The sequence below is a fragment of the Homo sapiens genome, chromosome 6 (genome assembly GCF_000001405.40).
Source record: "Homo sapiens chromosome 6, GRCh38.p14 Primary Assembly".
Lineage (NCBI taxonomy): Eukaryota > Metazoa > Chordata > Mammalia > Primates > Hominidae > Homo > Homo sapiens.
Window position 1 is genome coordinate 40,986,357 of NC_000006.12, and position 27,787 is coordinate 41,014,143.

Genomic DNA, 27,787 nt, shown 5'->3' on the forward strand with positions numbered 1-27,787 from the left:
CCATTCATCACCAGCCCCCAGCATAGTCCCGGTACATGACAGGCAGTATTTGTTGTTTAGCTAACAATGAATGAGCATGTAGTAGTGCCATGCACTGTTGCAGTTCATTTAATCCTGACATCAGCCTTAAGAGGCAAATGCTATTAGTCCCATTTTACAAGTAAGTCACAGAGAACTTGAAATCACTTGCCCAAGAGCCCACAGCTACTAAGTGACAGAACCAGGACACAAACTCAATCGGCTACAGAATTCTTTAGCTTAACTGAAATGCTCATGACTCATACAAGAGATATTGAAAGTGTGTGTGTGTCAGGGTGAAGGTGGGCAGGGGCAGGGGTAGAAGGAAGAAAGAGAAAGACAAGAAAAGAAGGGTGGTAGGCAGGGAGGGACAGAGGAGGAGAAAAAGTGAGGTGGATGGAAGGGAGGCCACTAGGTCCCGGGCACAGGCTTTCCACCTTGAGAGGCAGCAACTCTATACGGTCAGTACCCTACAGTCCAGAGACTGACCCAGGTTGAACAAACTCTCAAGTGACTGATGAATAAGCCAGAATATCAATCAGTTTATTAGTTTCAGAGAGAACTATTACTTCCAAGAAAACCAGAGTCTCACGTCCATTGGTGGGAGGTCAATGTACATGGGAAAAGGATCAGCCTCATCTGAAGCTTGCGTGGAAAGCAAGGACTCGGTGCCAGAGAGCCACAGGATGATGTTAATGGCTTGTGTCAGTGAGTTATGATTGTCTGGTGCTCCCTGCTCCTCCTAGACCCATCTGTCAAGCAGAGCGGATGTTTCTGTCAGCCAGTCGGGACCCCTTGCTTTGGACAATGCCGGAAAAACACTGACAAATTACTGCTCCGTGGCATCCCCTTCCTCTAGACCATGCACAGACCACCCCACTTTGGTTAATACATTTGTTTCCCAGACGAGGCACATTGTGATTGATTAGATTTCACAATTGATTAGGTTTCACAATCCCAGATGTTTAACTTCATTATGCATGGATTCTTCTTACTAACATAATCTCAGAGGACAACCATGTTCTGAAAAATAAAAAGGGGAAAAAAACAGGACTTATTCTCAGGCCTGTTGCTGCTCTCATCCTCTAAGTTGGCTCTTTGTCTCAGAAAAGGGTCCAGTTTGTGTCTTCACAGTGTGAACAAATTGGGAACTGGTTGGGAGGGGGACATGATGGGATGGGATGAAAACCAAGCCTGGATTAAGGAGGCTGACTCCACTGCAGAGGAATGAGCTTACAGCTCAAAAAACTGTGATGCTACTCTAGTTAGTCTAATTTAATCCTAGCTGCTTGTGAAGGCCATGCATAGGCTGCCTAGCTTATCAAATTTCTCTGGTACAGTACAAGACCTTATAACCAGTAGCAGAATTTTTTGGTGTCACTACTAAAAGTCATATTTAAATTTACCAAGCACCTTCTACATTGTAGATGTTGTGTCAAACTCTTACACGCATGTGTTAGTTAACCATTGCTGTGTAACAAATTATCTTCCACGATTCAGCGTCTTAAAACAACATGCATCGACTGTCTTGCAGTTTCTGTGGGTCCAGGCACAGCCTAGCTGGGTCCTCTGGCTCTCACAATGCTGCAGTCTCATCTTGAGGCTGGACTGGGAAAGACTCACTTCCAAGCTCATGTCCATGATTATTGTAAAGATTTCTTCCCTCTTGAATTGTTGGACTGAGAGTTCTCCTCCTCAGGGAGCCCCCATGAGCTTTTGGCTGGAGACCTCCACACTTCCTTACTATGTGCCCTTCTCCATAGACCATCTCATACCATGGCAGCTTGCCTCATTAGACTGAGCAAGTGAGAGGGCAAGGAACAGTACCAGTGACAGAAAGAGAGAGAGAGAGAAGGAGAACGCTAGCAAGAAAGAAGTCACAGACTACAGACTTAACCATGGAAGTAACAACCCCTTACTTCGCTCTATTCCATTTGTTAGAATCAAGTCACTAGGTCCCATGCACACTCAACGGGATGGGATACAGAGGGGATAAATACTAGGAGGTGGGGATTGTTGGGAGCCAGTCAGAAGCACATGACCTCCTCAAGGCAACCCTGTGAGATAGATGCTATTCCTGTTCTATGAATTTTCCAGATGTGGAAGCTCAGAGAGGTTAAGTCAGTTGTCCAAAGTCACATAGCTTGCTGATGGTGGAATCAGATCTCACATACGAATCTGATTTTATAATCATTCACTGAGTTCAGCTTGGTCAAGTGATTTTCCCATAGTGGTCCCAATATCCTATCAAAAGAAGGTCACTCATTCTGTCAATGAGTAAGGTTGGTTGCCTCTAATTTAGCATGAGACTAATTTGAAGGGAGACCAATTTTTGGTGGCCACTAGCATCAGGACCAAGATCTGGGCCTTTCCAATTCTGGACTTTGAATCTCAGACTTGCTGCAGAGATGTCCTGTGCTCCTCCTCCAACCTGGCTCTGTCAACACAAGGCAGTACCTCACTCTTGGTCACTGCCTGGTTTCCCTTCCCTATTATTGTAGCTGATGTTTGTATATACAGTATTCCCCTTAGCAACCTGCCCAATGACATAACCCTGTAGCACCAGGCATAGTTCAATAATGTCTCATAAACACTTATTAAACACTACTTTGTACCATGAATTGAGTGATGCAGAGAAAAATCAGACATTGCACCTATCCTCAAGACAGTCACAAAGTGTCTTGATTCTAGCATTGTGCCATCCAATACAGTAGCTACTGGTTACATCTGGCTACCAAGTACTTGCAATGTGGCTGGTCTGAAATGAGATAAGTTGTCACTCTAAAATAACAGTGGATTTCAAAGACATATGAAAAAAGTAAAAATATCTCATCAATATTTTTATATTGATTGTAAAACAATAATATTTGGGGTATGTTGAATTAAATAAAATATACTATTGAAATTCATTTCACTTCTTTTTAGTTTTTTTAATGTGTAATGTGGCATTCCACATCGGACTCACATTTGTGGCTCTTGTCACATTTCCCTTGGACCACCCTGGTCTAGAGGCAGGGAGTCACGTGATACCCACAATTCCCATTTATTGAGGGTTCACCCTGTGCCTGTGTTCCACATACTCTCTCTCTACATGGAACACAAGTTATTTCATCTAGTCCTCATAATAAACTCATGCAGTAGACATCATTATTTCCTCTTACCACTAAAGCGGAGGCTCGGTGGACTGAAGCACCTTGCCTACAGCCACACAGTAAGTGGGTGAGCAAGACTGAGAAGCTATGGGGCTCCAGAGTCCATCAGAAAGAGGAATACACACCTGTGCTGTTCAGAGTGATGGACGCTGGAATGGAGCCACATGGGGAACCCAGGAGAAAGCATCCAACTCCACCTTGGAAGGCCAAGGAAGACCTCCAGATAGACATGACGCTTAAGCTGAGTAAGCCCAGAATAAAGATATCCACGAAGCCAACAGGCAGGAGAGAGCTTTCCCAGCAGAGGAAGCAGCTGGCGTGAAACCCCAGAAGCATGAAACTGCGTGGTGCATTCAGGGAACAGTGTGGGTTTGACATAAGAAAGTGGAGGGAGATAAGACGAGCAACATAAGCAGAAACTTTGCAGTAAAAGAACTACACACCGTGCAGAGGGGTTTGGACTTTGTCCTGTTGGGTCAGTAGTCTCAACTCTGGCCGCGCATTGGAATCACCAGGAGAACTTTTTAAAATACCAATGCCCAGGACCCATGTCAAAGCAATTAAATCGGAAGATCATAGGAGATGGTGATGAGGTGGCCCAGGCTCCAGAATTTGTTAAATACTCTCTCCAGCGATTCTAATGTGTGGCTGGGTTGAGAAGCTCTTCATAGTATTAGGAATTTGCGGAATAGCTTTAAGAAATGAAGTCAAATGATCAGAGTTTTGTCTTAGGAAGATCATTCTGAGGGTTGCATCGAAAATGAATTATTTTCCATTCTCCAGTAACTCTGGAAGCCGGGAAACCAAGCGGGTTTCTACTGAAATAGTCCAGGTCAGGGATGCTGAGGCCTGAGGCCACGTAGATGAATGGAATGGCTGTGGGGGTTGAGGTGCGGAGCCCCCTGAGAGAGGCCCCTGCTATGGTTCTGACCACCTCCAGCCTCAAGCACTTCCAACTGCCTCCTGCATCTCTCCCACTAGGTGTCCCACAGACATCTCCAGCTCATCACATCCTCATTGGAATTATTACATTCCCCCAGAGCCTGTTCCTGCAGGTTTTCCTAAGGTTTCCTTCATTCCCCTCATGGCTCCCTAGAAACCCTCCACCCCTCCAGGTCCATCATCAACTCCTCTCCCTCTCTCCCCTCTTTTCCCACATCCAATCAATCAGCAGGTCTTGTTGCTTTTATCCTCAAAGACTGTCAGAACAGCTCTTCCCTGTCACTCCCCAGCCCCTCTCTTATTCAGGCTCTTTCATTTATGGCTTGAATCCTTGTGACATTCCCTGTGGCAATCGCTACTGGATTTGGATGTCCAAAGCCATTTGAAACTCTGATTCAATAGGTCGGGTGTAGGGCTCAGGCATCACACACATGCACACACACACACACACACACACACACGCACACACACAAAGAGATATAATCTCCCAAAGTTATTCTAACTTCGTTTTAGATATGTGGTTCTAAAAGTATGTCCTTGTACCAGCAGCATCAACATACCTGGGAACTTGTTAGAAATGAAAATTCTTGGACCTCCACCCCAAGTCTACTGAATCAGAACCCTGGGGGTAAGACCCAGAGAGCTGTGCTTTAACAATCCCTTCAGGTCATTTTGATGCACATTCAGGTTCAAGAATCACCTATCCAAACTACTCATGGAAATCTCATTCCCACTTGCTAATGATTGATTTTCAGTGTGCACATAACCCAGTTCTGGCCAATGAAACATGAAAGAAAATCTTCCAGGAGGGCTTCTGGAAAAAAAATGTTTTCTCCCTGATAGAAAAAGGGAGCCATATTTTAAAAAAAGCTCTTTCTCCAATATGTATACTTTATGTGAGTAATAGGACCTGTTCTCATGTGAGGCTGTGATGCTTGGAGCTATGGCTGCTATCCTGGGACCATGAGGAGAAAGTGGAGAGGATCACAGGAAAGCTAATCCAAAACCTGATGTTAAACTTTCAAATTAATCAATTCTGGAACTTCCCAATCTTCATATCTGATGCAAGATCACTGTCATTCTTATTTAAGCCACTCTTAGTTATATACTTTCTTACTTGCAGCCAAAAGCATCCTGACTTCTATAGCCTCCTGACTGTTATCCATAGTTCCAGGCTCTTCCCTTCAAATCTATCCTACTGTGAGAAACTGTGAAGGGTCTTAGATTTTACCCTATCTACAGGCTAACAACTGAGCATGAACCCTGGTGAAAGGCATAAAACTTCTTGGTCAGAGGCAAAATATTGTATTACTCATGGTACAGCAAGCACCATGTTTGCATCAGTTCCCCTTCTTCTCAAGTCACACAGGGACAACACTGTGGGCCCATGTGGTACCTACACACCCAGTGGGTTGCATTACAGGAGAAGAACCCCAAGCCAAGGGCCCAAAAAAGCAGTAAGCAGCAAACAACAAATAGGTTCTCCTCCTGTCCTCCCAGGTAGGGATGGTTACCTTGCCCTACTTAGTCACCTTTATGACCAGATACAGAACTGCTCAGTATCGAGAAAGAGACAAACCCTGCAATCTGAGACATTCAGCAAAAAAGTGCAGGGAAGTTCAGAGCTCATAGTGAACTGCCTTTCCAACACCGTGTTTATCTTCCAGCTAGAGCTCCCAAATGTCCATGGCTGTAGTCACCTAAGTCCTTGCCTCAGATACCAGCAGAGTCTGAGCTAGCTTGAGCCCTTAATCATCCCTTCTCATTTCTGGCTGAAACCTATCACACCCTCCAAAAAAGACTGACTATGCCCCAGCGGCTCAAGGATACTCACCAGGCACTTTCTCTTACCTCCGCACAGAGTCCACTTCTTGTCTGGCATCACAGTTTTCCAGACTTTCATCTTCCACCAGGCCCCTCCTCTCATCTGCATCTCTTTGAATTTATGCTTCAGTGACAGTCTCAGTCTTGATTCCCCTTTTGGTCCTACGTGCCCAGGGTTCTGCATTTTCCAGGGCAGTCCGAGTCTACTTTGTTCTCTCACCGCCAGCACCCTGGACTTCCACCAGTCCAGATGAGAGTTCAGACAAGCGGCTCCCTGTTGCCTCCTAAGCACATAACACTCCTCACTCTGGAATCAAAGCCCTACATGCCCTCCTCCAATTTCCTTCTCTGAAATTATCTCCAACTATCCCTCTACAGTCTACACACTCCCCAGGGTTCCTGGACTATGTGGTTTTCTCCATCCCATCTGTTGTTTTTCCCCTCTAGACCTTTCCTCATGATCTTTGCTGGATTTAGAATGTGCTCTTCCTCCCCACTCTGCTCCTGGGGAAATCCTATCCCTCCCTCAGGCCCATCTGAAATGAAGACTTTGGTAAACCTCTGTACGGTTCTCTCCCTGCTGGCCAGGCCCTCTGCTTCTTTTCAACCCAGGGGCTGTGAGCTTCTCTTACAGTTCTCATCTTTCCAGTCTTCTGTGACGTCCTCCCAGGCTGGTCTCATTCCTGCTGCAAAATAAAAGCTCACAAAAGCAGGGACTACTTGATACTCCCTTTTGTCTCCCTTTCTGACCTGAGTACTGTTGCTAGCTCTGTTACTAATAGTGTTCTCCCCTAAATGCGTTTGAACACCATGACTGCTTTTTCCTAACTAAAGCAAATGAGAAAGCCCTGCTGTGAACTGCATCCCCGCCATGCTAGTCCATTTTTCTGCTGCCTTAGATACCAGAGGAGGGATGAAGCCTTCGTGTCACTGAAACTGATGTCACTTGTTGAGTCCGCCAAAGGGCAAATAGGCAAAATACAACTCTATAGGGGAAATATGTTGTGATTGGGGGTGTGCAAACTACACAATCTCCCAAACAGTGTGCTGAGAATTGATTCCAGGTATATCTGGATACTTCAGCCCTTGCAGTAGCTAGGTGGGGCCTGGATTGGGCTGAGCCTAGTGGGCTGTAAAAACATCACTTTTGTGTATTTATGAAAATAAAAAGGATTGAAAGCCTAGCTTTAGGGATGTGGAATTCCTAGCACCAAAGGGCCTAGCATCTTGAGGGTCTAATCCTGCAAAGGTTTAGACTGTTTCACTCATAAGCACCAAATAAAGGGAATTGTCAATGAAATGAAGATAAGAATGAGGAGTTGAGAGGGGGACAGGCTATGCTGAAAAATGTGATGAAAGCTTGTGTATGGATTGGGACTAGGATGGAATGGCTCAGAAGAAACGAGATGGGCATAGGTCTAGCATGAATTGTGGTAAGAACAGGAGGCAATGGGTTAGAGAGGGAGTTAATGGAATTTGCGTGAGCTGGAAATAGGGTGGATGGATAGGGGAGTAAGGCTCCACCCAGAAAAACCCACCTGGCTTCCTCAATGTTTCCTTTCCTCCATCCTTCCCAGTACCCTGATGGATAGCTTTGCACAGATAAATTTTGTTCCCAGCCCATGTCCAAACAATATCACAAAATCAGCCCTAGCCAGTTGTTTCTGTTTACAGCCCTGTCTGTGATTGATCCAGCTCTGGAAAAGCCCATTTATCATGAGGAACCAAAGCTTCATGGCCTACTGTCTATTTTGTTGCTTTATTCCCTAGCACTAAATGGGACTTCAGGACCTCCCACTTGTTCCAGTACCCAATGACATGCCTATATTTCCACACTCAGTTTGCCCTTCCCTTCAGCCCCTCTAGCTCTCAGCCTTCCTGGGACCTTAAATAAGTCACGCAGCTCCTTTCACCAACTCTTTTCTTGTTCTCGTTACTTCTGGGCTCTTCTGCCTTTCTATCTCGTCTCCTTCTCTCAGCAGCTCACTGTCCTTTCCAATTTCAGCTGAAATCAGATTCCTTCTCCCTTGCCTTTGCTTTCCCACCTCCCATGGCCTCTCTTATCATTTATTATTTAACTCAGTCACCATATTATGTATGCACAAGAGCCATTTCTGAACATGGTCGGCATGAAAAAAATAGGACCCAAAGCAGAAGCAAACACCTCTTCCCTATCAGTCTCACAGCTCCATTGTCATCCTGCTCCAGTCCTGAGCAAGGTCCAGCGAAACAGCCAGATCTGGCCAACACACCCTCAAGCCCAATTAACTTCTTAGGTTGGACACAGGGAAAATTTCCAGATGGCTTTTTACAGATATCCTTCAATTTATGTAAGAGATGCCTTCCTGGAAGTGGATGTTTGAATGAAATTCCAAATGGAATATCAGGAGGGTCAGGCACACAGGATGTGTGGTTCAGAGACCCAGGTTCTATTCTTCTTGAGATGGAGTCTCGCTCTGTTGCCCAGGCTGGAGTGCAGTGGTGCAATCTCGGCTCACTGCAACCTCCACCTCCAGGGTTCAAGCAATTCCCTGCCTCAGCCTCCCAAGTAGCTGGGATTACAGGTGCCCACCACCACAACCAGCTAAATTTTGTGGGTTTTTTTTTTTCTTAAGTAGAGACGGAGTTTCACCATCTTGGCCAGGCTGGTCTTGAACTCCTGACCTCATGATCCACCCACCTCGGCCTCCCAAAGTGGTGGGATTACAGACCTGAGCCACCGCGCCCTGGCCTCCAGCTTCTATTCTTTAATAGCCCTCATTAACTTACTTCCAGAACTTGGGCAAGACCTGTAGCTTCTCTAGATCTCAATTTCCCCATTTATAAAACAAGGGAGCCAGACTATATTTCCTCAAGTTTCTTTCAGTGTGAAAATTCAAAAACTCCTATTTTACTTAATGATCCACATGATTCCATTGGAGATCCTTCCTACAGTTAAAATTCAGCTCTCTCCTCATCAATAGGTCATTACGGAGCATGTGCTATGCTGCTGCGCCTCATTAGAAGGGAATGTAGATTAACCTGGTGAAGCCCTCCTTTTATAGATGAAGAGACCAGAGCCCAGAGAGGAGAAGCACCTAATCCTGGGGTCACACAGCCAGTGAGAGGCAGAGTCAGTCTAAAATGTACAAGTCCTGGCCTGAGACTACTCTTTTTTTCCTGTGTGGTGTTTTAAGCATGACTGCAAATATTTTTATCCTCCTTCCATCAAGAGGTAGATCTATGTCCCCTACTTTCTTTTTCTTTTTTTTTTTTTTTTTTTTTGAGACGGAGTCTCGCTCTTGTTGCCCAGGCTGGAGTGCAATGGCACAACCTCAGCTCACCGCAACCTCCACTTCCCAGGTTCAAGCGATTCTCCTGCCTCAGCCTCCCAAGTAGCTGGGATTACAGGCATGTGCCATCACACCCAGTTAACTTTGTATTTTTAGTAGAGATGAGGTTTCTCCATGTTGGTCAGGCTGGTCTCAAACTGGCAACCTCAGGTGATCCGCCCACCTCAGCCTACCAAAGTGCTTAGATTACAGCTGTGAGCCACCACAGCAGACCTTGTCCCCTACTTTTTATTTGAATGGGTCCTTGGCACCTCCCACCAATAGTACATTTGGAATGAATGCTATGTAACTTCCAAGGCAGGGTGCATAGAAGGCCATACAGCTTCAGCCTAGCTCTCAAAGGACATTTATTTTCTCTCAGAGCCTTCATGTAAGAAGTCCAATGGGTTGGGTGCTGTGGCTCACGCCTGTAATCCCAGCACTTTGGGAGGCCGAGGTGGGTGGATCACCTCGGAGGTCCGGAGTTCAAGACCAGCCTGGCCAGCATGGTGAAACCCTGTCTCTACTAAAGATACAAAAAAATTAGCAGGATATGGTGGTGCACACCTGTAATCCTACTTACTCCGGAGCTGAGGTGGAAGGATCTCTTGAATCCCGGAGGCGGAGGTTGCAGTGAACCAAGATTAAAACACTGCACTCCAGCCTTGCTCTGTCTCAAAAAAAAAAAAAAAAGTCTAACAATCCTGAGAACTCCATGCTCTCTCAGCTGAGCCCACCCGTAAGCCAGCCCAGCCCAGCTGCCAGACATATGAGTGAAAAAACTATTGGAAGTGGATCCTCCAGCCCCCAGTGGTTGAAAGCACCCCCATTCCAGTCCTCCCCTGAAAGATCCACCTCTGTGCTTTTTTCTAACTTCTGACCCACAGAATTTGGGATCACAATAAAATAGTGGTTGTTTCATGCCACAAAGCTTTGGAGCAGTTTTTTACATCGTCATAGACAACCTGAAGAACTAGTAAACTCTCATGTTGGCTAATATTCTTGGGCTCCCTTCCCCCAGGTGACCAATGCCAGGAGTGTGTGACTTGCAGCACATGTGCTGAAGGTGGAGAGAGGTAGCCTCTGCCTCCTCACACTGCACATCCCCTCACCTGCCTCCAGTGTGGTCAGTTCACATAGGCTTTCACTCCTCTGCCCAGGCAAAGTTCTCCTCTCTCCTGCCACGGTCCTTTGTTTATATCGTGAGTGCAGGCTTGTCACACGGATAGCAACCAGATTATTTATGTTTGTCTTCACTAGACTACAGGCTCTAAAGGGACACAGCTGTATTCTATGCATTTCCCTGTGCTGAGGCCTAGCACCTAGTGGGCGTGAAATAAATACGTGTGGAATGAAACTGTCAAAGACCATGTGACCAGCTGGCCCTGACCCCCTGCTAACAAGCAGCAGACCCAGAACCCCTTTCTGGTTCTCCTCCAGGCAGGGCACAGTTGTTTCCTATCTGAGCAGGCTCCATTTGCTTCACATCAGCCCAAGAACAGGGAATGGGAAATGCCTTGTGCTGCAGGAGGGAAGACAAAGTAAGCCAGAGAGCACTTGGCCATCTGGGGCTGGGAGCGGAAGAGAATGGAACCATTCTGGAGAGCCAGACATTTGTTTTGTAGTTGTTGCCTTTGTGAATGTACATGTCCTGAAACCCTGGTTAATTTTCTTGTTCAAACATTGGTTTAAAATTGCTGGCTCTAGGAGAGATACTGTCCTTCAGCAGGTTCTGTTATAAACTTTGCAACTCCAAGGTCTGATTCAGCAGCAAGCTGGAAAAGTTCCTGGTTGCTAAGAGACCAGAGAGCAAATTAGCAGCTCACAAAAGACCCAGCTAAGACCAGTAAAAAATAAGACAAACGAAAACAAGGTAGGAAATGGGCCTCCTCAAAATCAAAATAAGGTAAACAAACTGGCTAGGAAAATGTCTGATTGGAAAAGACAATTATAAGTATTCTTCATGCTGAAGTAAAATGCACTATAGGTAGCTAAACTCTATCTTTGTCTTTTTGTCACTTGAAGAAAACAGCAGGGGAGCCCCTTTCTAGTCCTGAAATTCCGGATCTATGAGTCAGAGGGAAAAACAAACTGTCCCAGTTGATAAGGAGGAAAGAAAAAAGTGAAATAGGCTGCCTCTTTTATGAGCTCTCCCTGCCAGGACGGTGAATGGGCTACCTGGGGTGGTGGCCCAGAAACATTCCTGCAAGCAAACAAAAGCCTCCCCCCAGGAAAGGTTTCTGATCACTGCTGGTCCAAGGCTCAGCCGCAACAGAGGGCTCTGACCCCCACAGGACTTGGCCAGACACTTCAAGATCCCATCTGGCAATCAAGCATGAGAATTCAGGTACTTGTAATAAGAAGGGGCAAAGAGAAAAGTACCAAATAGGTCCCAGGTATTAAATATTTATTTTGTTAAAGTGCCTCTATAGCTATGATTTTTAGTAATTTCTTTTCTGGTCAGACAATCTAGTAAAATATTATATTAAAATTATTTTTAATCAAAAACAGAAAAAAGCATGCCAATCACTTACCTCTGATGGAAATTCATTCTCCAAGACACACAGTTTTCCTAAGAACCTACTGCTTAGCTGGACAAAATAGTAGGAAAATGCTCCAAGTGGAAATTACCAGCCTCTTGAGGGAGGAGCTTGAAAATCTTAAGTGATCACAGAAAAGTCACAGTCATCTGGGTTTTGGAGACCAGAGAAGAAATGAAGAAGGGCAAAAAAAAAAAAAAAAAGAAAAAAAGAAAAAGATGGGGTGTGGGGAGGAAGATGGGGAAACATGGAGCTACAAATTGGGAGAAAATTAAGGCAGCCAGTAGGCATATGTCAGGGAGCTATGGCGTGATATGCCTAAGAACTATGTGACTGAATAGCCTCCACTTATCAATATTTGTTGGACAGCAAAAGGATTTCAGAATATGATGGATCCAACAAGCATGAAATAATCTTTAGGGGAAAAAATTACAATTCCCCACATGGCAGCTTCCTTCAGATCTTTTCTGACAATCCTGTTTGTCAGATTTCTAAATCGCATGCAACTGCTATATTTTAGGCAGAGCTGGTATCTTCCTGGAAAAAGACCGTCCCAAATATTCAGTGCCCCTCCCTGCAGGAGAAATAGACACCTCCTTTCTGATATATGCAGCTCTGGCCAAATGACTTGCTTTGGCCCATGAAATGTGAGCAGAAGTCACATGTGTCACTTTGGAGTATAAGTTTTAAGAGCTAGCACGTGGTTCTCTGGCTTTTCTCTTGCTGTCACAATGACCAGAACATGTTCCAGATAGTGCCTTATCCAACAGGCTTGGTCCCCAAGAGAAGAAAGCATGGAACAGAGCTGTGGCTGGATTGCAGTGGACACGTAGCCCAGATGAAAAATAAGTTCTGTTGTGGAGTTACCTGCAATTGCAGCAAAACCTAGCCTATGTGACTAATATACATGGCCCACGGGACTAAAAGGTGGCCAGAGTTGCCCCTCGCCCTCATTCACATTTTCTCACTAGCTGGCCACAGTCTCACCTTGAGAGGAAAGTCATTATGCTCCAGGTGGCTTTCTTAGAATTCAGATATGTTGCCTGACTGACCCAGGAAATCAGGGCTGGCAGCCCTGCTGCTGAGCGTGGTTCAGTACCCAAGAAACAGGCAAAGATGGCGCACGGAGCTGAGAGGAGACAGAACCATGAACTTCGAGTTGGAAATGCCAGGTTGGAGCTGGCTCACCAGTTCTAATTTAACCCAAAAAGAACAAACAAAAAACAAAACAAGCAAACAGAAAAAAAAAAAAAAAACACTAGACCTTCTTATTCCTACCTTTAGAACTTTAGAGAGTGTTGATATTTAAAAAAAAAAAAAAAAAAAAAAAAAGGCAAACAAACAAAAAACTGACCCCCAAAGCCAAAAGAAATAACATGTCTTTATTGAAGAAATGTCCATTCTTCCTTCAAAGCCTCTTTCCCTTAACAAACGTGGTATGCACAGCAAAATGGAAAAGATGTCAGCCTCCACAGTACAGAGGAGGTGAGAAGATCTGCTTCCCAGCACACTGTGGAAAGGCAGGGCCTGGAGCAAGGCTGTGACCTCAGCTGCACATCTGGGTCCTAAGACCACTGGAGGGAGCTGTGCTGAGTCAAGGTTAGAGAGCCCTTGGCAAGCAGATCCCCGGCAAGGCAGCCAAGTCAAAGAGGAAGTTTGAACACTTAATGGGACATCAAATGGGATTTTCCCTGCAATCTCAGAACTTCTGCTAAAAGCCCTAAAGTGGATAGCAATAAGTAAAAGTGCCCCCGCAGTCTAAAAAGAAAGTGATCAGAGGATACCTGCAGGATTTTCTCAAAGATGAGTGATCCAATCCTCCCATCCCACCTCCACCACCCCAAGAGAATACTAGAAGATTTGCGAGTCCATTGAAATAGGCGCATTTCTAAGAGTAGGGAGTTGTCAGCCTAGTAGGAAAGGCTAGGGTGTTTCTCCATCCCTCCCTTTCCCCATGAAGGCAGGAGGAAGATGTTTCTCCCATCCTCAAGTGAGGCACAAAGATCCAAGAGAACAGCAGGGAGGTCAGGAGGCCTTCGAGAGGGAGAGAGTGAGTCCAATACCCAGCTGGGTGCTGGCTGAGCCACAGAAACCAGTAGGCTGACATGGTGCTCCCCAGACAGGAGCTTGGGGCTTGCCCTTGCCCCCAGGTTCTGGAACAGGGAGGCTGGCACCTGCTTTTTGTCCAGAGAATTGTAAAGGAATGTAGGAAGCTGGCTGGGCTGGCTTGCAGTGGCAAGTACAGAGAGGGCATGAGGTGGGCATCCCTCTCATCTGGGCCACGTGACCACTACGGAATGTGTCCCTACTCTAGGTCTGATAAGACTTCCTCCTAAAAGGGAAGCCCAGGAACTAGAGGCAAGGTGTGGGGGAAGGTGGTAAAAAGCAGACTAGGCCACCTCTCCAAGGCAGACCTAGCTCAGGCTTGAGCTGAGGGATGGGGAGGGGAGAAGCATAGTGCTGGGTATGAGATTGAAGTTTTGATTTAGCCCGGCCACGACCTTTCAATGCTTGAAAGTGAGGTGAGGCAGCCAAAATAAAACTAGTTATTATAACTGAAGGTGACCAAAAAGCTGTGGGCTGTGCCTGAAACAACGTCAAGGGATGGTCCAGAAATAAGGAAGAGAAATGCAACAGAGAGCTAGAAAACAATAGTTGGAGAAAAATAAAGCCACCTCCTGATTGTACTCCATGGAGTCACATCGGTCAAAAAACCAATTACAATTGGAGGGAAATTCACCAGAGAGAGAAGTGCTGTCTAGAGAGTAACTATGATTGGGGAGAACTGCCCAAAGACATTCCATTCTCCATCTCATTAGAGTATGCATTCTCCAGGGTGTGAATGCTCCCAAGTGCTCCCAAGGGGGTGGAAATTGGCTGGGGTGGGGGTGTGAAAAATCTTAGATGTTTCAAAGTTTTATGACCCTCCAAAGTTTAATCCTGCCCAACAAAATAGTATGTAATTATTTCTTAATTTATGTTTACTATACATTTATTTATCAATACATATCTTATCTCTCTATAAATTTATATTATTTTATGTTATTATTTAAAATAGTGTTTAGGATAGGGAAAAAATGAAAGGAAGGGAATTTTTTTTCCTTAGGGGAACAATGCTGAAGAAAAGTCTAGAAACATTGAGTTAGAGAGAAACACAACATTCAACCTCAAACCAGAACTGGTGTTTGGATAAAATTTTTCTGGCTCCAAGTAGAATTGCTTTCACTGAATTTGTTTTGATATCCTACCTTTTGAGGGCTTTATCCTCTGCTTCACAAGGTGTCCTTTTCATAGGGACCCAGAAGAGAACGTTCTTTCAGGTTTCACTGTAAAGAAAAGCAGTGCTTCTTCTGGATAAATGGTTTGTTTATCTTTTATGTTTTATCTTTTATGAGATTTGTTATGCACATCTCAAATTAGATCAAGTTTCCCTCTTTGCTTCAGCCACAGGGGAGCTCAGGGCACCTTTTGTAACCACTGCAGGACTGGGCCATATGCATATCTGGGACTTTGCCTTATCTGTGCTTTTAGTATTTTTCTACTTTTAACTTTGCCCCAATTCCCTCAACTGTGTTTTAACTCTTTCCTATTTCATGTATTTTTATAAGCCCCCTACAATCCTTTGTGGAATATGTGGGATATAAATATGTAAAGAGGAACACTACCTCTCCTTCCAAAGTTTTCTTTCCGCCCACTCTTATTAAGTCTGTCCTTATACAGTTGCTTTTCTTTTTAACTCAATGCACAACTAAAAGGTATTCTATTGGGTTTTATCTTTTTCTTAGTTTTCCAGGATATTAAGATCATCTTGAAAACTGATTCTGTAACCCAACATGTTTGCCAACTTTGTGTTATCCATAGTGTTGAGGACCATACCTCCCATGTCTTCATCCAAGTCATTGATAACAATGTTGAATGGAACAGGGCTAAGACAGACCCCTAAGGTATGCCACTAGAGACCTTCTTCCAGCCAATATCAATGCACTAATCCCCTTTCTCTTCTGATATGGTTGAACCAACGATTAGCCCACCACATTTCTGCCATCTGTCTTCTGGCTAAGCTACTTGGTCAAACATCTCTCTGACCAAGGAGCCTCTGCCTACAGCATTCCTTAGACCTGTTACTCTTAATATCGCTCCCCAAAAGGAAGTAGGCTGACACTGGATGCCGGGAACTCAACTCTACTGCAATTGTGTGGCTGCCACCTCTGCACTGGAAATTTGATACTGGATCCCAAAAATAAGAAGCCTGAGTTGCCAGCTGCATGAGTAAAATGAATACACCACCCAGAGCTATGTGTTTCCAAATCAAAGTCTAATGTAGGTTCTCCTCACCGGTGGAGCCTGGGTCACATGACTGGCACCAGCTGCAAAAAATACTAAAAATCTCAGTTCTCTGGATTCTGCCTTGGAGCAGCAGTTCCCATATGTCAGGAACTCTAACAAGGATTAGAATGATGCTCAAAAAGTGCTAAGCAGTCAGACATGACGAATGTCCCTAGAGCCCAAATGGTGGGGGGACATGGCTGCCCAATGAGCCCAGGCTCCATCCTGCAGTTCTCAGACCCTTCTCCAAGCTCCTAGGAGAGGAAAGCCAGTGGGCTAACCTTGGACGGGGTGCTTTCCAGAGACAGTCTCAGCTAGTTTGCAAGGGGTCAGGCAGTGCTGTGAAGGCTGTCGGTGCCCTCCTGATGTCCCCTCAGGGCATTTGATCCCCTCCTGGTGTGCTTCCACCTGAGTCAGCAGGCACCTGAGTCTCTGTGTCAGAGGACTGTTCTCGGGCAGCCTCAGCCCTGGGAATTCACATCCCCTAAGACAACCCTCAATCAATATGATTGACAACATAAGGATTAAACATTCTCCAGCCTTCTCCATGATGAAACAACTCTGAAGTGTGACTTACACCATTAACAGACATCCCCTGTGGGACTCTTCCAAAGTTACCCTCGGGGACACTTTGCTTCATACTCACTTCTTTCCCTTCTTTCTTCCAGTTCCCTACGACCTCTGGATTTTCCCTGGGAACACACTTCCTAACACTTTCACACAAACCTTTGCCTCAGGGTCTGCTTCTGGAAACCAACCTAAAACAGGAAACCATGGCTGCCGGAAGTCCATGGTGGTAAATCGGGAATTACTAGAGAAGGAATGAAGAGAAGACCCCAAACGTGTCCGTTGTCCCCCTGGTTGGACCCCCTCCAGACCACCTTGGTTCTGAATGTAGAAACTTAACCTCTAAATATCTGCCCAGGCCCTGCCCTGGTCCAGAAGCAGAGCTGGAACTCAAAACCAGTTTTGCTGAAGGTGTGCACCTTCCCAACATCCACTGGTGAGAACATCCCAGCACACTGCTCTGTAACTTCCAGAATTCATTCCTTTCCCCTTTTTGAATGTCAAGAGCTCATATGCCCATCTCATGTCATTGAGCGCAAATCCCTCCCCTATAATTTATCAAAGATTGATGACAGTGACTCTGAAATCTCATGTCAAGTCCCTCCCAGGCTGCACGACATAATTCATCAGGGTCAGAGCCCTGAGTTTATCACAGCTGCTGCTACCGGCTTTACTGCCTCAATGCCTGTCCTTGACTTCAATCCCCTCTTTGCAATGTTTGTTCTACCCTTTTCAATTGGAAGACCACTTTCCTTACTGGAAAAGAAGGAGGTAAAATCATAGTTAGGCAGCACAGCCCTCACTTTACCTTCGGCGAATGTTAAATCATTTTCTCCACGCAAATCTTTCCCTTAATTTTTGCATGTAGAACAGAGAACAATGGGGTTCCTCAGAGAGTTCAGAACCCCTAGCTCATTTGAGACAGTAGATTTTCCTACCCCACTTCTTACAGGTGGGGCCACACTGCTGGATTCAGCCCTTGCCCTCTGTCACTTAGGGGACGCTGAAGGCTGTTTTACAAAATGTGAACCTTCATGGCCACTTCTGAATCCTAAGCCAACTGTTTTCGGACCCAGGCTGCTTCTTCTCCTGCTGACAGCTGTCACTCCTTTATTCCCAACCACCTCTCTACTTAAGAGCCTGACTAAAAGTTTTTTTTTTTTTTTTTTTGAGACGGAGTCTCGCTCTGTTGCCCAGGCTGGAGTGCAGTGGCATGATCTCGGCTCACTGCAACCTCCGCCCCCCAAGTTCAAGCGATTCTCCTGCCTCAGCCTCCCAAGTAGCTGGGACTACAGGAGCATGCCACCATGCCCGGCTAATTTTTGTATTTTTAGTAGAGACCAGGTTTCACTATGTTGGCCAGGCTGGTCTCGAACTCCTGACCTCCTGATCCACCCACCTCAGCCTCCCAAAGTGCTGGGATTACAGGCGTGAGCGACCGCGCCCGGCAAGAGACTAAAAGTTCTTAATTATAGTCCCTGGCCCATACTTTGAATTCTCTTGGCTTTTATTCCTGAGGGCAGGCCTCATGAAATCACCCCTTTCCATCACTTTAAGGGAAGGACCATCCTGCCTCATCCTCAGGAAGTAACATTTTTCTGCAAGGTTAGCCACCAACAATTGCCTTTAGGGTCATCAAATTTTTGAGACTCTCAAGCCCAGAAGATGCCCTGGTTCCCTGGCTTCTAAGCCTCTTGCGTCCCTAATTTCTTACTACAACTTACCCTTCCATTCTTGCACTATTTTTTTCTAATCTAGCTATAAGAGAGATTCACTTAGTTTCTTTAGCTAAATTTCCATTTTTCCTCTTCAGCTGGATCAATGCTATTTTAAAACAACAACAATACCAGGAAGAGTAAATGAGAATCTAACGAAAATAGTTATCTGCAGGGTGTGAATAGAAATGTAGAAATGTAGCAAAAGGGCTAGGGATCGGAGGGAGACATCTTCTAGTATACCGTCTTATATATGTTTGATTTTTCAATCATTTAAATGTTTTTACATGTTTAGAAACAAAATTAAATTACCAAGAGCGAAAAAAAACTAAACCTAAAGATGAGTTTTAACAAAAGCAAATGAAACCTAATTCTGTATCAAATCATATAGAAAAATTCTAATTCAAAGAATTTGGGACACAGTACCCTGACTATACACCCTTAATGGAATATATTCTAAAGAGAATAAACACCACAAAGATGCCTTAAACCTGACTGAGTAGGTTTGTTCTTAGTAGTATAACTGGTGCAGTAACTCTGAAATGATTTGTGTGTGTTGTAGAATAGAGAAAGTTAATGAATATGTTGGCATTTTGAGAACCAAGTTCTCACTGTGAGAGAAAGAACACATGAATAGGGATTGTGGGAAGGGAAGGAAGACCCTGGGGTGTTGGATTTGAATTGGAAGTATCAAAGTAAATACAAGATTTCTTTTTTTGAAAAAGTATTTGCTAGCTCTATCCACTGAAAGAGCCTAGAAATAACAATGCTCCAATGGAATGAGTGCACCAAGCACCCAGAATTTGGTTTTTTAATAGTGTTCTCCATTGAAAGGAGCCAGGAGCCTTGGGAGAAATGACTGATCCGATTCTGGAGCAGAGACAGTACAGGGTAAGCCTAGGATGTCAGGTTGCGCTAAAAATCAAGAAAGTGCTCAAATTCTAATGGTGACATGTCAAAGGAGCACGGGAGCCAAACTGAAAGGGCTCCCACCAGGCAAATTTTGGACAATTTGAGTTTTAATATTTGTAATTAATTATGACACATGGATTTTTTTTAAGTTCCCCAGTTCATGGTGATATTCAAAAGGGTGGGGAAACTCTTCTTCATGAAAGAATGCCTGTTAATGAAGTAGAATGATAGAATTAGACAATTACCATTTTACAACGTAGTGAGTTACTCGGCTAAGAATCATCGGTGTATTCTGTTACCATTGAATAAAAGGTTGGTGAGATATTCATGCAGTTCAAATATAACCCCTTCAGATTACTTAGTAAGTAAAAAGGGGCAAGGGTGCAATGGAGAACAGTGGTGGACACCACTTAACCAAATGATCAAACTCAGCATCTAATAACGGGACCAACTGACATGAAATGGCAGCCAATTTCTCTACAATAGAAATGGCACGGATTCTTCAAAAATCTCAGGAAGGACCGAGCACAGTGGCTCACGCCTGTAATTTCAGCACTTTGGGAGGCCAAGGCGGGTGGATCACTTGAGGTCAAGGAATTCAAGACCAGCCTGACATAGTGAAGTGAAACTCCGTCTCTACTAAAAATACAAAAATTAGCCAGGAGGTGGCGCACGTCTGTGGTCCCTGCTACACGGAAGGCTGAGGCAGGAGAATCGCTTGAACAGGGAGGAGGAGGCTGCAATGAGCCGAGATCATGCCACTGCACTCCAGCCTGGGCAACAGAGTGAGACCCTGTCTCAAAAAAAAAAAAAAAAAGAAAGAAAGAAAAAAGAAAAGAAAAAAGAAAGTCAAGAAGAATTTTAAAAAATGATCTATTCTAGACTCAAGGATAATAAAGACACATGCAATGCATGATCCTTGAATCAAGGAGGGAACTACAAAGGACATTGTGGGGACAATGGAGGATATTTGGATGTGGATAGTATATGAAATAGTGCTATATCAATATTACATTTCTTGAATGTGATATGGTATTGTGAAGGAGAGTATCTTTAGAAGAGATGTGCTGTAGTGTTTAAGAGAAAGTATTATGATGTCTATAACTTAAATGATTCAGATTTTTTAGAAATATATATATGCTAGGTGTGGTGGCTCATGCCTGTAATCCCAGCATTTTGGGAGGCCGAGGCGGGCAGATCACCTAAGGTCAGGAGTTTGAGACCAGCCTGGCCAACATGGCAAAACCCTGTCTGGCAAAACCCTGTCTGTACTAAAAATACAAAAATTAGCCCAGCATGGTAGCACATGCCTGTAACCCCAGCTACTCAGGAAGCTGAGGCCTGTAACCCCAGCTACTCAGGAAGCTGAGGCAGGAGAATCATTTGAACCTAGGAGGCAGAGGATGCAGTGAGCCGAGATCACGCCATTGCACTCCAGCCTGAGCAACAAGAGCAAAATTCCATCTCAAGAAAAAAAAAAAAAAAGAAAAAAGAAAGAAACATAGATAAATAGATAGATAGATAGATAGATAGATAGATAGATAGATAGATAGATAGATGATAGATAGATAGGCATAGGCATAGATAGAGAGAGAGAGACATGGCTAATGTAAGTGAAACGTTCCAGGTGTTCATCGTACTCTTCTTTCAACTCATTCATAGATTTGAAACTTTTTGAAATTAAAAATTGAAGTAGGAGAATGCTCTGGCTTCACCTCAAACCATTTAAGTCAAAATCTCTAGGGGTCAGCCCAAGTTTCTTTTATAGCATTTCTCCAGAAGTGTTTACTGTGCATCCAGGGTTGAGAACTACTGGCCTACCTGATTCATGATGATGTCCAGGCCCTCAGACCCTGCCTCAGCCCCCAAGGACCCTGAAAATAAGTCTCTTAAAGGTCACAGGGGCATCTGAGTCTCCAGCAGGCCCTTGCAGCCCTGAGTCAGTAGCCCAGGCTAAGGAGGAGAGAGTAAAGAGTCTTCATAGAAGTGTCTGCTTAGCATAGGAACCCTGACTGCTTTTAGGTCCTTCTGGCTTCCTCCTGCCAGGCCTCTCCCTTCTCAGAGGCCCCTCTGAGATAACCCTCATTCTGCCCCTTCAGGCTGCCTCTGAAAACCTCAGGCCTCTCTTCCTCCTCCCTTGTTCATAAGGCCTCCAGCAAGGGACCTTGCATGGCACGCCCTCAATAAATGAGTGCCAGGTGAGCCGAGGTGGGCTCACTCACACTGTGCCTCTCTCACTGTCACCCTCAGGGGGGAGGAGGAAAAGCCCATATCAAACATGGGCAAAGGGTTTTACTTTGTCCAAAAAAAAAAAAAAAAGCAGAAGCTGAAGGTCAAAGAAGCAAAGAGAGTGGGAAGGACTCTGTTCTTTACAAAGAACAGAGTCATGACACCTCACACTGGACCCTTGCTAGGTGTAGGTGCTGTGGCCGCACTGAATCTGTGTTATCTCATAAAATCAACAGCCTAGCCTTATGGGGTGGGTCATACTGTCATTGTCACTTCACACCATGTGTCCCCAGCATCACACAGCTGGAACCTCAGCAGTCTCGGACCAAAGCCCACACCTCTAGCCATGGTGCTAGACTGCCTACATAGGACTTAAGGAGGAGAAGGAAAGCAAGAGCCAATATTGATGAGGCGCCTACTAAGATGATCTTGTTGAATTCTCTCTGCAGCCCTGTGAAGTCAATCTTATCTTCTTTTGATGAAGCTGAGCAAATGGACTCTGAGATAAAGTAATTTCATTCCATCATGTTGAACAAGCCTAAAATGTATCATGATCTGCATTGTCTTCTGTATGAATGGCAATCTCTGGAGTTGTGCAACCCAGGATCAAGAGTGACTTGCCCAGGGCTATGCTGCCAGTAAGGGATGGTCTCTGGATTTGGAAGCAAGGTCTCTCAGACTTTGGCCTCCCTGGAAAAGCCCTGCTGTCCCCTCACCCCCACCACCTCAAGTGTTCTGTTACCAGACATCTCTCCGCAGGGATCAGAACCTCCCTTCTGCAGGGAGAAGTGAGTCTTCCACTGCGCTGCCATCAAGGAGGTGTCAGAACCCTGAGCTCTTCTAGACAGACCTCAGCTGTTGAACATGTGAAGAACATGCCTTTCTGCAGATGATGAAGTGGGATGTTGGGGATGAGAAAGCAGAGGCAGAAAAGTCTGAGGCATGCCCCCCACAATTCAGCAGACTGTGGGGTAGTGGCACTCATAGCTAGGATGACCAGCTCATCCCAGTTTTCTCAGGACTTTCCTTGTTTTAGCATTGAAAGTCCCACATCCAGGGACAACCTTCAATCCCAGTCAAGGGAGATGGTTAATGTCTTGGTCAGCTTGAGCTGCCATAACAAAATCCCATGATGGAATAAAACAACAGACAAATTTCTTTCTCACAGTTTTCCAACATCGAGGTGCTGGCCAATTTGGTTTCTGTTGAATGCTCTCTCCCTGGCTTGTAGAAAGCATCTTCCTAGCGTGTGCTCATGTGGGCTTTCCCTGGTGTGTGCACATGGAGAAAAAGTAAGAAAAAGAGGGAGAACAAGAGACAGGAAGAAAGAGAGTGCGCTCAGGAGAATGCTCCAACGTCTCTTCTTAAAGGACATTAATCCTGTCATGGGGGCCCTACCCTCATGACCTCATCTAACCCTAAATACCTCCAAAAGTCTATCTCCAGATACAGCTACATTGGGGTTTCAACATTTGGATTTTGGGTAGACACAGTTCAGTCCACAGCAGTTGAATAACCTACTTGCAGCCAAATCCCTCTTCTCAACCCCTGGTCCCCGAGATGCCCAAGGGGAGAAGGCTATCTATTCTTCCAGAAACCCACTCAGCCACAACAGCTAGTAGATGAATACCTTGCACTGGAGTTTCTGGTTTTTTCCAGATTCCAGGCCTAAGGAACCCTAAGTGGTGCCTGGCTTTCGTTTCCAAGGCAGAGTCTCCTAAGAGTGGGCTGGGTAGGGAGGGTGATCCTCAAAACTCCTAGTTGCTATGGATAAGGTTCTGAGAGACCACACATCTGTACACAAAGTCACACCCAAATGCTTCTTTTGTGGGCCTTTCCAGATGCCCCAGTCAAGAGGGAGAAAAGGCAAGGAGGCTGTGCATAGACCAGGGCTAGAATCCTGGCTAACACTCACAGCCTGCATAACTTCCCCGTGCCTCAGCTTTCTTTCCTGTAAAATGGGGATGCATTATAAGGGTTAGAATAAAATGGGTTTCAAGTGTTTGGCACCTAGTAATTGTTCAGTAAATGGTAATCATCTTTATTTCTCTCCTGCCTACCTTGCATTCCCTCCATTCCCCCTCCCCTACCTTTCCCATTTTTTCATTCATTCAACAAGTACTTATTGAATAACTACTATGCTGTAGTCACTGGGGATGCAGGAGTAAATAAAACAGTTTCTCCCTCCAAGAAACTTACATCACGGCCTGAAAAAACTAAAAGAAAAATAAATATGAAAATAAATATGAAAGTGACATTATGTGATGGTTCACTTTAGGTGTCAACTTGACTGGGCTAAGGGATGCCCAGATCTTTGGTAAAACAGGATTTGTGGGTATGTCTGTGAGGGTGTTTCTGGAAGAGATTAGCATTTGAATTGGTAGCCTAAGTAAAGAAGATCCGACCTCACCAATCTGGGCAGGTATCACCCAATCCCTTGAGAGCCTGGATAGAGCAAAAAGGTGGAGGAAGAGCAATGTCCCTCCTCTCCCTGAGCTGGGACAACCATCTTCTCCTTCCTTTGAACATTAGAGCTCTTGATCCTTGAGCCTTCAGACTCCAAAACTTACACCACTATCCTTCCTTCTCCCTGGTTTGTAGGCCCTTGGCCTCAGAACTATACCACTGGGTTTACCAGTGAATTATTATTTACCAGTGAATTATACCACTGGCTTTCCTGGGTCTCCAGCTTACAGACAGCAGATTGTGGAACTTCTCAGCCTCCAAATTGCGTGAGCCAATTCCCATGATAAATTTCCTCTTATATATACAGATGGTCCCCAACCTTCAATGGATCAACTTATAATTTTTCAGCTTTACAATGAGTTTATAGGGGTGTAACCCCATCATAAGTCAAGGAGCATCTGGACTTATAATGGTTCGACTTTTGATTTTTCAACTTTACAAGAGGTTTATCAGGATATTAAATACATTTTGACTTACAATATTTTTGACTTACAATGGGTTTACCAGAATGTAGGCCTATTGTAAGCCAAGGAACAGCTGCATCTAAATATATCCTATTGGTTCTGCTTCTCTGGAGGACCCTGACTAATACAGACTACGATAGAGGTGGGAATGGAGGCCAGAGGAGGCAGGAGAGTGGATGAATCTGCAGCCCAGATTCATCTAGAATGGATAAATGGAAAGGGATGAAAGGGATGGAAAAAGATGGAAGCCAAGAGAGAAAGAGATCAGAAACATAAATTTTGGAACCATCAGAGTCAAGATAGCCTTTAAAGCCAGAAGTAGATGAGATCAATGAGGGAGCAATGGTAGACAGAGAGAACCTCTGAGGTCTGCAGGGCTCCAACCTTCAGAGGTTGAGGAGACAAGGAAGGACCCCTAAAAAGGGGTCACAGCTAGAGACAGGACATTGAGGGAGAGGGCATCCTAGAAGTCCACACTGCAGAAGATCTGAGGGGAAATGGGAAGAGAGGTCTGGAGAGAGCAGTGTAGACAGCTCCCCTACAGTGGAGTGTGTGCCTGGGAGTCGGCATCCCAGCTGCAAGGAGAAGCCCCAAACGGTATGGCCATGTTTCTTTTATCTCTGGGTCTCCCCAACACACAGTAGGTTCTCAATCAAAATCTACTGAGTTGGCATCAGTTAGATGTCCTGTTTATGGCTGAGGCAAAGTCTGGAGATTTCCCCTACCTCTCAGGCCCTCGCTGCAGGCCTCTGACACTCCAGGGATAGCTGGCAAGCCCACAAGGCCTCCCTGAGGGTCCTTCTCTCTCAGAAAATATCAGCACATGTGTCCAGCAGGGCCTTTGATGGCTTCACACAAGAGGAGAGTCATGTGTGCATTCCTGGCTCTCTGGACAAGAAATAAATGTTCAGGCGGAGAGGGAGAACTTGGCTGAAGTGGAGGAGGGAATTGAAATCACTGAACAAAATAACAGCAACACCAATAACAACCATTTATTGATCTCCTGTTCTGTAGCAGACGCTAGGACAAATGCAGGGCATTTGTTGACATTGTCTTTCATCTCAGTCCAGTTCAGTCCATCTCCAGTTACCTGGTGAGGGAGGGGCTGCAAACCCCACCCTACAATGAGTTACCCTGCTGCCTGAGGCCACATACACAGTAGCTCCAAGGCTGATGTTCCTCAACCACTGTGTGAAGATTTATCATTGAAGAAAGGAGAGATGGAGGTAGGAATAGCAAAGGCTAAAGACAAAGCTACCCCAAGCAGCAGCATCTCCTTCCATGACTTCAACTCCACTGACACCAGGCTGACCTGGGCTTTCCCTTTGCCTTTCCCACCATCACCTTTGCTAGCTGGTGGGACTTTCAGGCCAATGGGTTACATGTTTAGAAACAAAATTGGGCAGTGGGCTGGGGCCAGCAACCACAGAACCTTCCTCCTCAGCCATTGTCATTAAGTAGGCAGAGATTTCCTGACCTTGTCAGTAGCCCTCTATTAGTCCATTTTCATGCTGCCAATAAAGGCATACCCAAGACTGGGTAATTTATTAAGAAAATGAGGTTTAATGGACTCACAGTTCCACATGGCTGGGGAGGCCTCACAGTCATGGCAGAAGGCGAGAGGCACATCTTACGTGACAGCAGGTAAGAGAGGAAGAGAGCCAAGTGAAAAGGGTTTCCCCTTATAAAATCATCAGATCTCATGAGACTTATTCACTACCATGGAACAGTATCAGGGAAACAGCCCCCATGATTCAATTATTTCCCACTGATTCCCTCCCACAACACATGGGAATTATGGGAGCTACAATTCAAGATGAGATTTGGGTGGGGACACAGCCAAACCATATCAAGCCCCTCAGCCAACATTTTCATGGTGGCAGCTGCTCATGAAGTGTAATCTAAAAGGACATAAAAAACATTCATACACACATACACACACACATACATACATATACACACACAAACATTCATCACACACTCAAAAAATCTCTCCCATTGGCTCACCTCAGCACCTGAAATTCTGCCAATTTAAGGTCCTGTGGAGACCAGAGTAGTTGTTATGTTTATCAATATGTGTATACTCACTGCACTTCAGGGAAGCTGGAGTTTAAAGGCTGGAGGACTAGGACCAAAGAAAGAACAGTTGTGCTGGTGGAGAGAAAAGGAAGTGAGACAAGCTGAGCCTTGCCAGAGAAAAGGCAGCCAGGATAGTGCAGAAGAGGGAAAGGTGGAGGCTCCCGAAGGGATGGAAGCCAAGCATGGAAGAGGAAAAGAGTCGGGTCTTTTTCTGCTCTCCTAAGAGTTCTGGTTTGGTATCGTGGTTGCGAGTGTGAGATCAAACAACCAGGCCGGGAGCAGTGGCTCATGCCTGTAGTCCCACCAGGCTGGTCACCTGAGGTCAGGAGTTCAAGTCCAGCCTGGCCAACATGGCGAAACCCCGTCTCTACTACAAATACAAAAATTAGCCAGGTATGGTGGTGGGCACCTGTAATCCCAGCTACTCGGGAAGCTGAGGCAGGAGAATTGCTTGAACCCAGGAAGTGGAGGTTGCAGTGAGCCAAGATCACACCACTGCACTCCAGCCTGGGTGACAAGGGCAAAACTCCATCTCAAAAAAAAGAAAGAAAAGAAATCAAACAACCAAGGCCCAAATCCCAGTGGTGTCACTTGCTAATTACGTGGCTTAGGAAATTACTCAATCCTCCTATCTGCATCCTTAAAATGGGAAGAATGACAGTACACATCTTGAAGGGTGATCTTGAGGCTTCAGTGAGGTAATCCATGCAAGGACCTTAGCACAGTTCCCAGAATTGAATAAACACACAGTAAATGTTTAATATTATTATTAATATTTAACTGAAGTCTGCGGCCTGTTTCCACCATCAGCTCCTCCAGCCATGAGTTGGAGTCTGCCAAGGATTTTAGAGTTCATTGATTCTCTGGATGTGAATCATTGTAAACAGATAGATTGGTGTCTTCTGTTTGGAGACAATATCTCCCCTTCTTCCAATGGCAGAACATCTGGTGACTTCCCAGGAGATAAAAGGGTGGAGTACAATAAAGGCCAGAAACCTGGTTCTCCCTGAGGGAGCAGAATGAGAGGAATAGGTCCCGGTGGCATATGCTGCTTTCCTTGACCTTGGCACCTGTTCCAAGCTGGCAGAGTGCAGAGGAGGGAGCACTGGGGACACAGAAATTGGTGTAACTCCTACAGACAGCAATGTGCTCATAGCTCAAAATTTTAAACGCGTGTCCCCTTGACCCTAAATTTTGGTTTCTAGGATTTTTTTTTTTACAGATATGCCCCCACATACAAAA

General features: G+C 45.2%; 1 long non-coding RNA gene across 1 annotated transcript in view, besides 2 other annotated features; it reads right to left on the reverse strand.

Moving 5' to 3' along the window:
* LOC101929555 (uncharacterized) overlaps positions 1–27,787 on the reverse strand; it is a 144,395-nt gene that overhangs the window by 107,471 nt on the left and 9,137 nt on the right. The window lies entirely within an intron of this gene.
* Positions 10,616–11,289: an enhancer, noted in NCBI's record as "OCT4-NANOG-H3K27ac-H3K4me1 hESC enhancer chr6:40964711-40965384 (GRCh37/hg19 assembly coordinates)". NCBI's record gives its function as "activates a minimal SCP1, AML or CMV promoter by ChIP-STARR-seq in primed H9 embryonic stem cells {active_cell/tissue: H9 hESC(primed)}" and the evidence as "EXISTENCE:reporter gene assay evidence [ECO:0000049][PMID:30033119]".
* Positions 11,290–11,962: an enhancer, noted in NCBI's record as "OCT4-NANOG-H3K27ac hESC enhancer chr6:40965385-40966057 (GRCh37/hg19 assembly coordinates)". NCBI's record gives its function as "activates a minimal SCP1, AML or CMV promoter by ChIP-STARR-seq in naive and primed H9 embryonic stem cells {active_cell/tissue: H9 hESC(naive and primed)}" and the evidence as "EXISTENCE:reporter gene assay evidence [ECO:0000049][PMID:30033119]".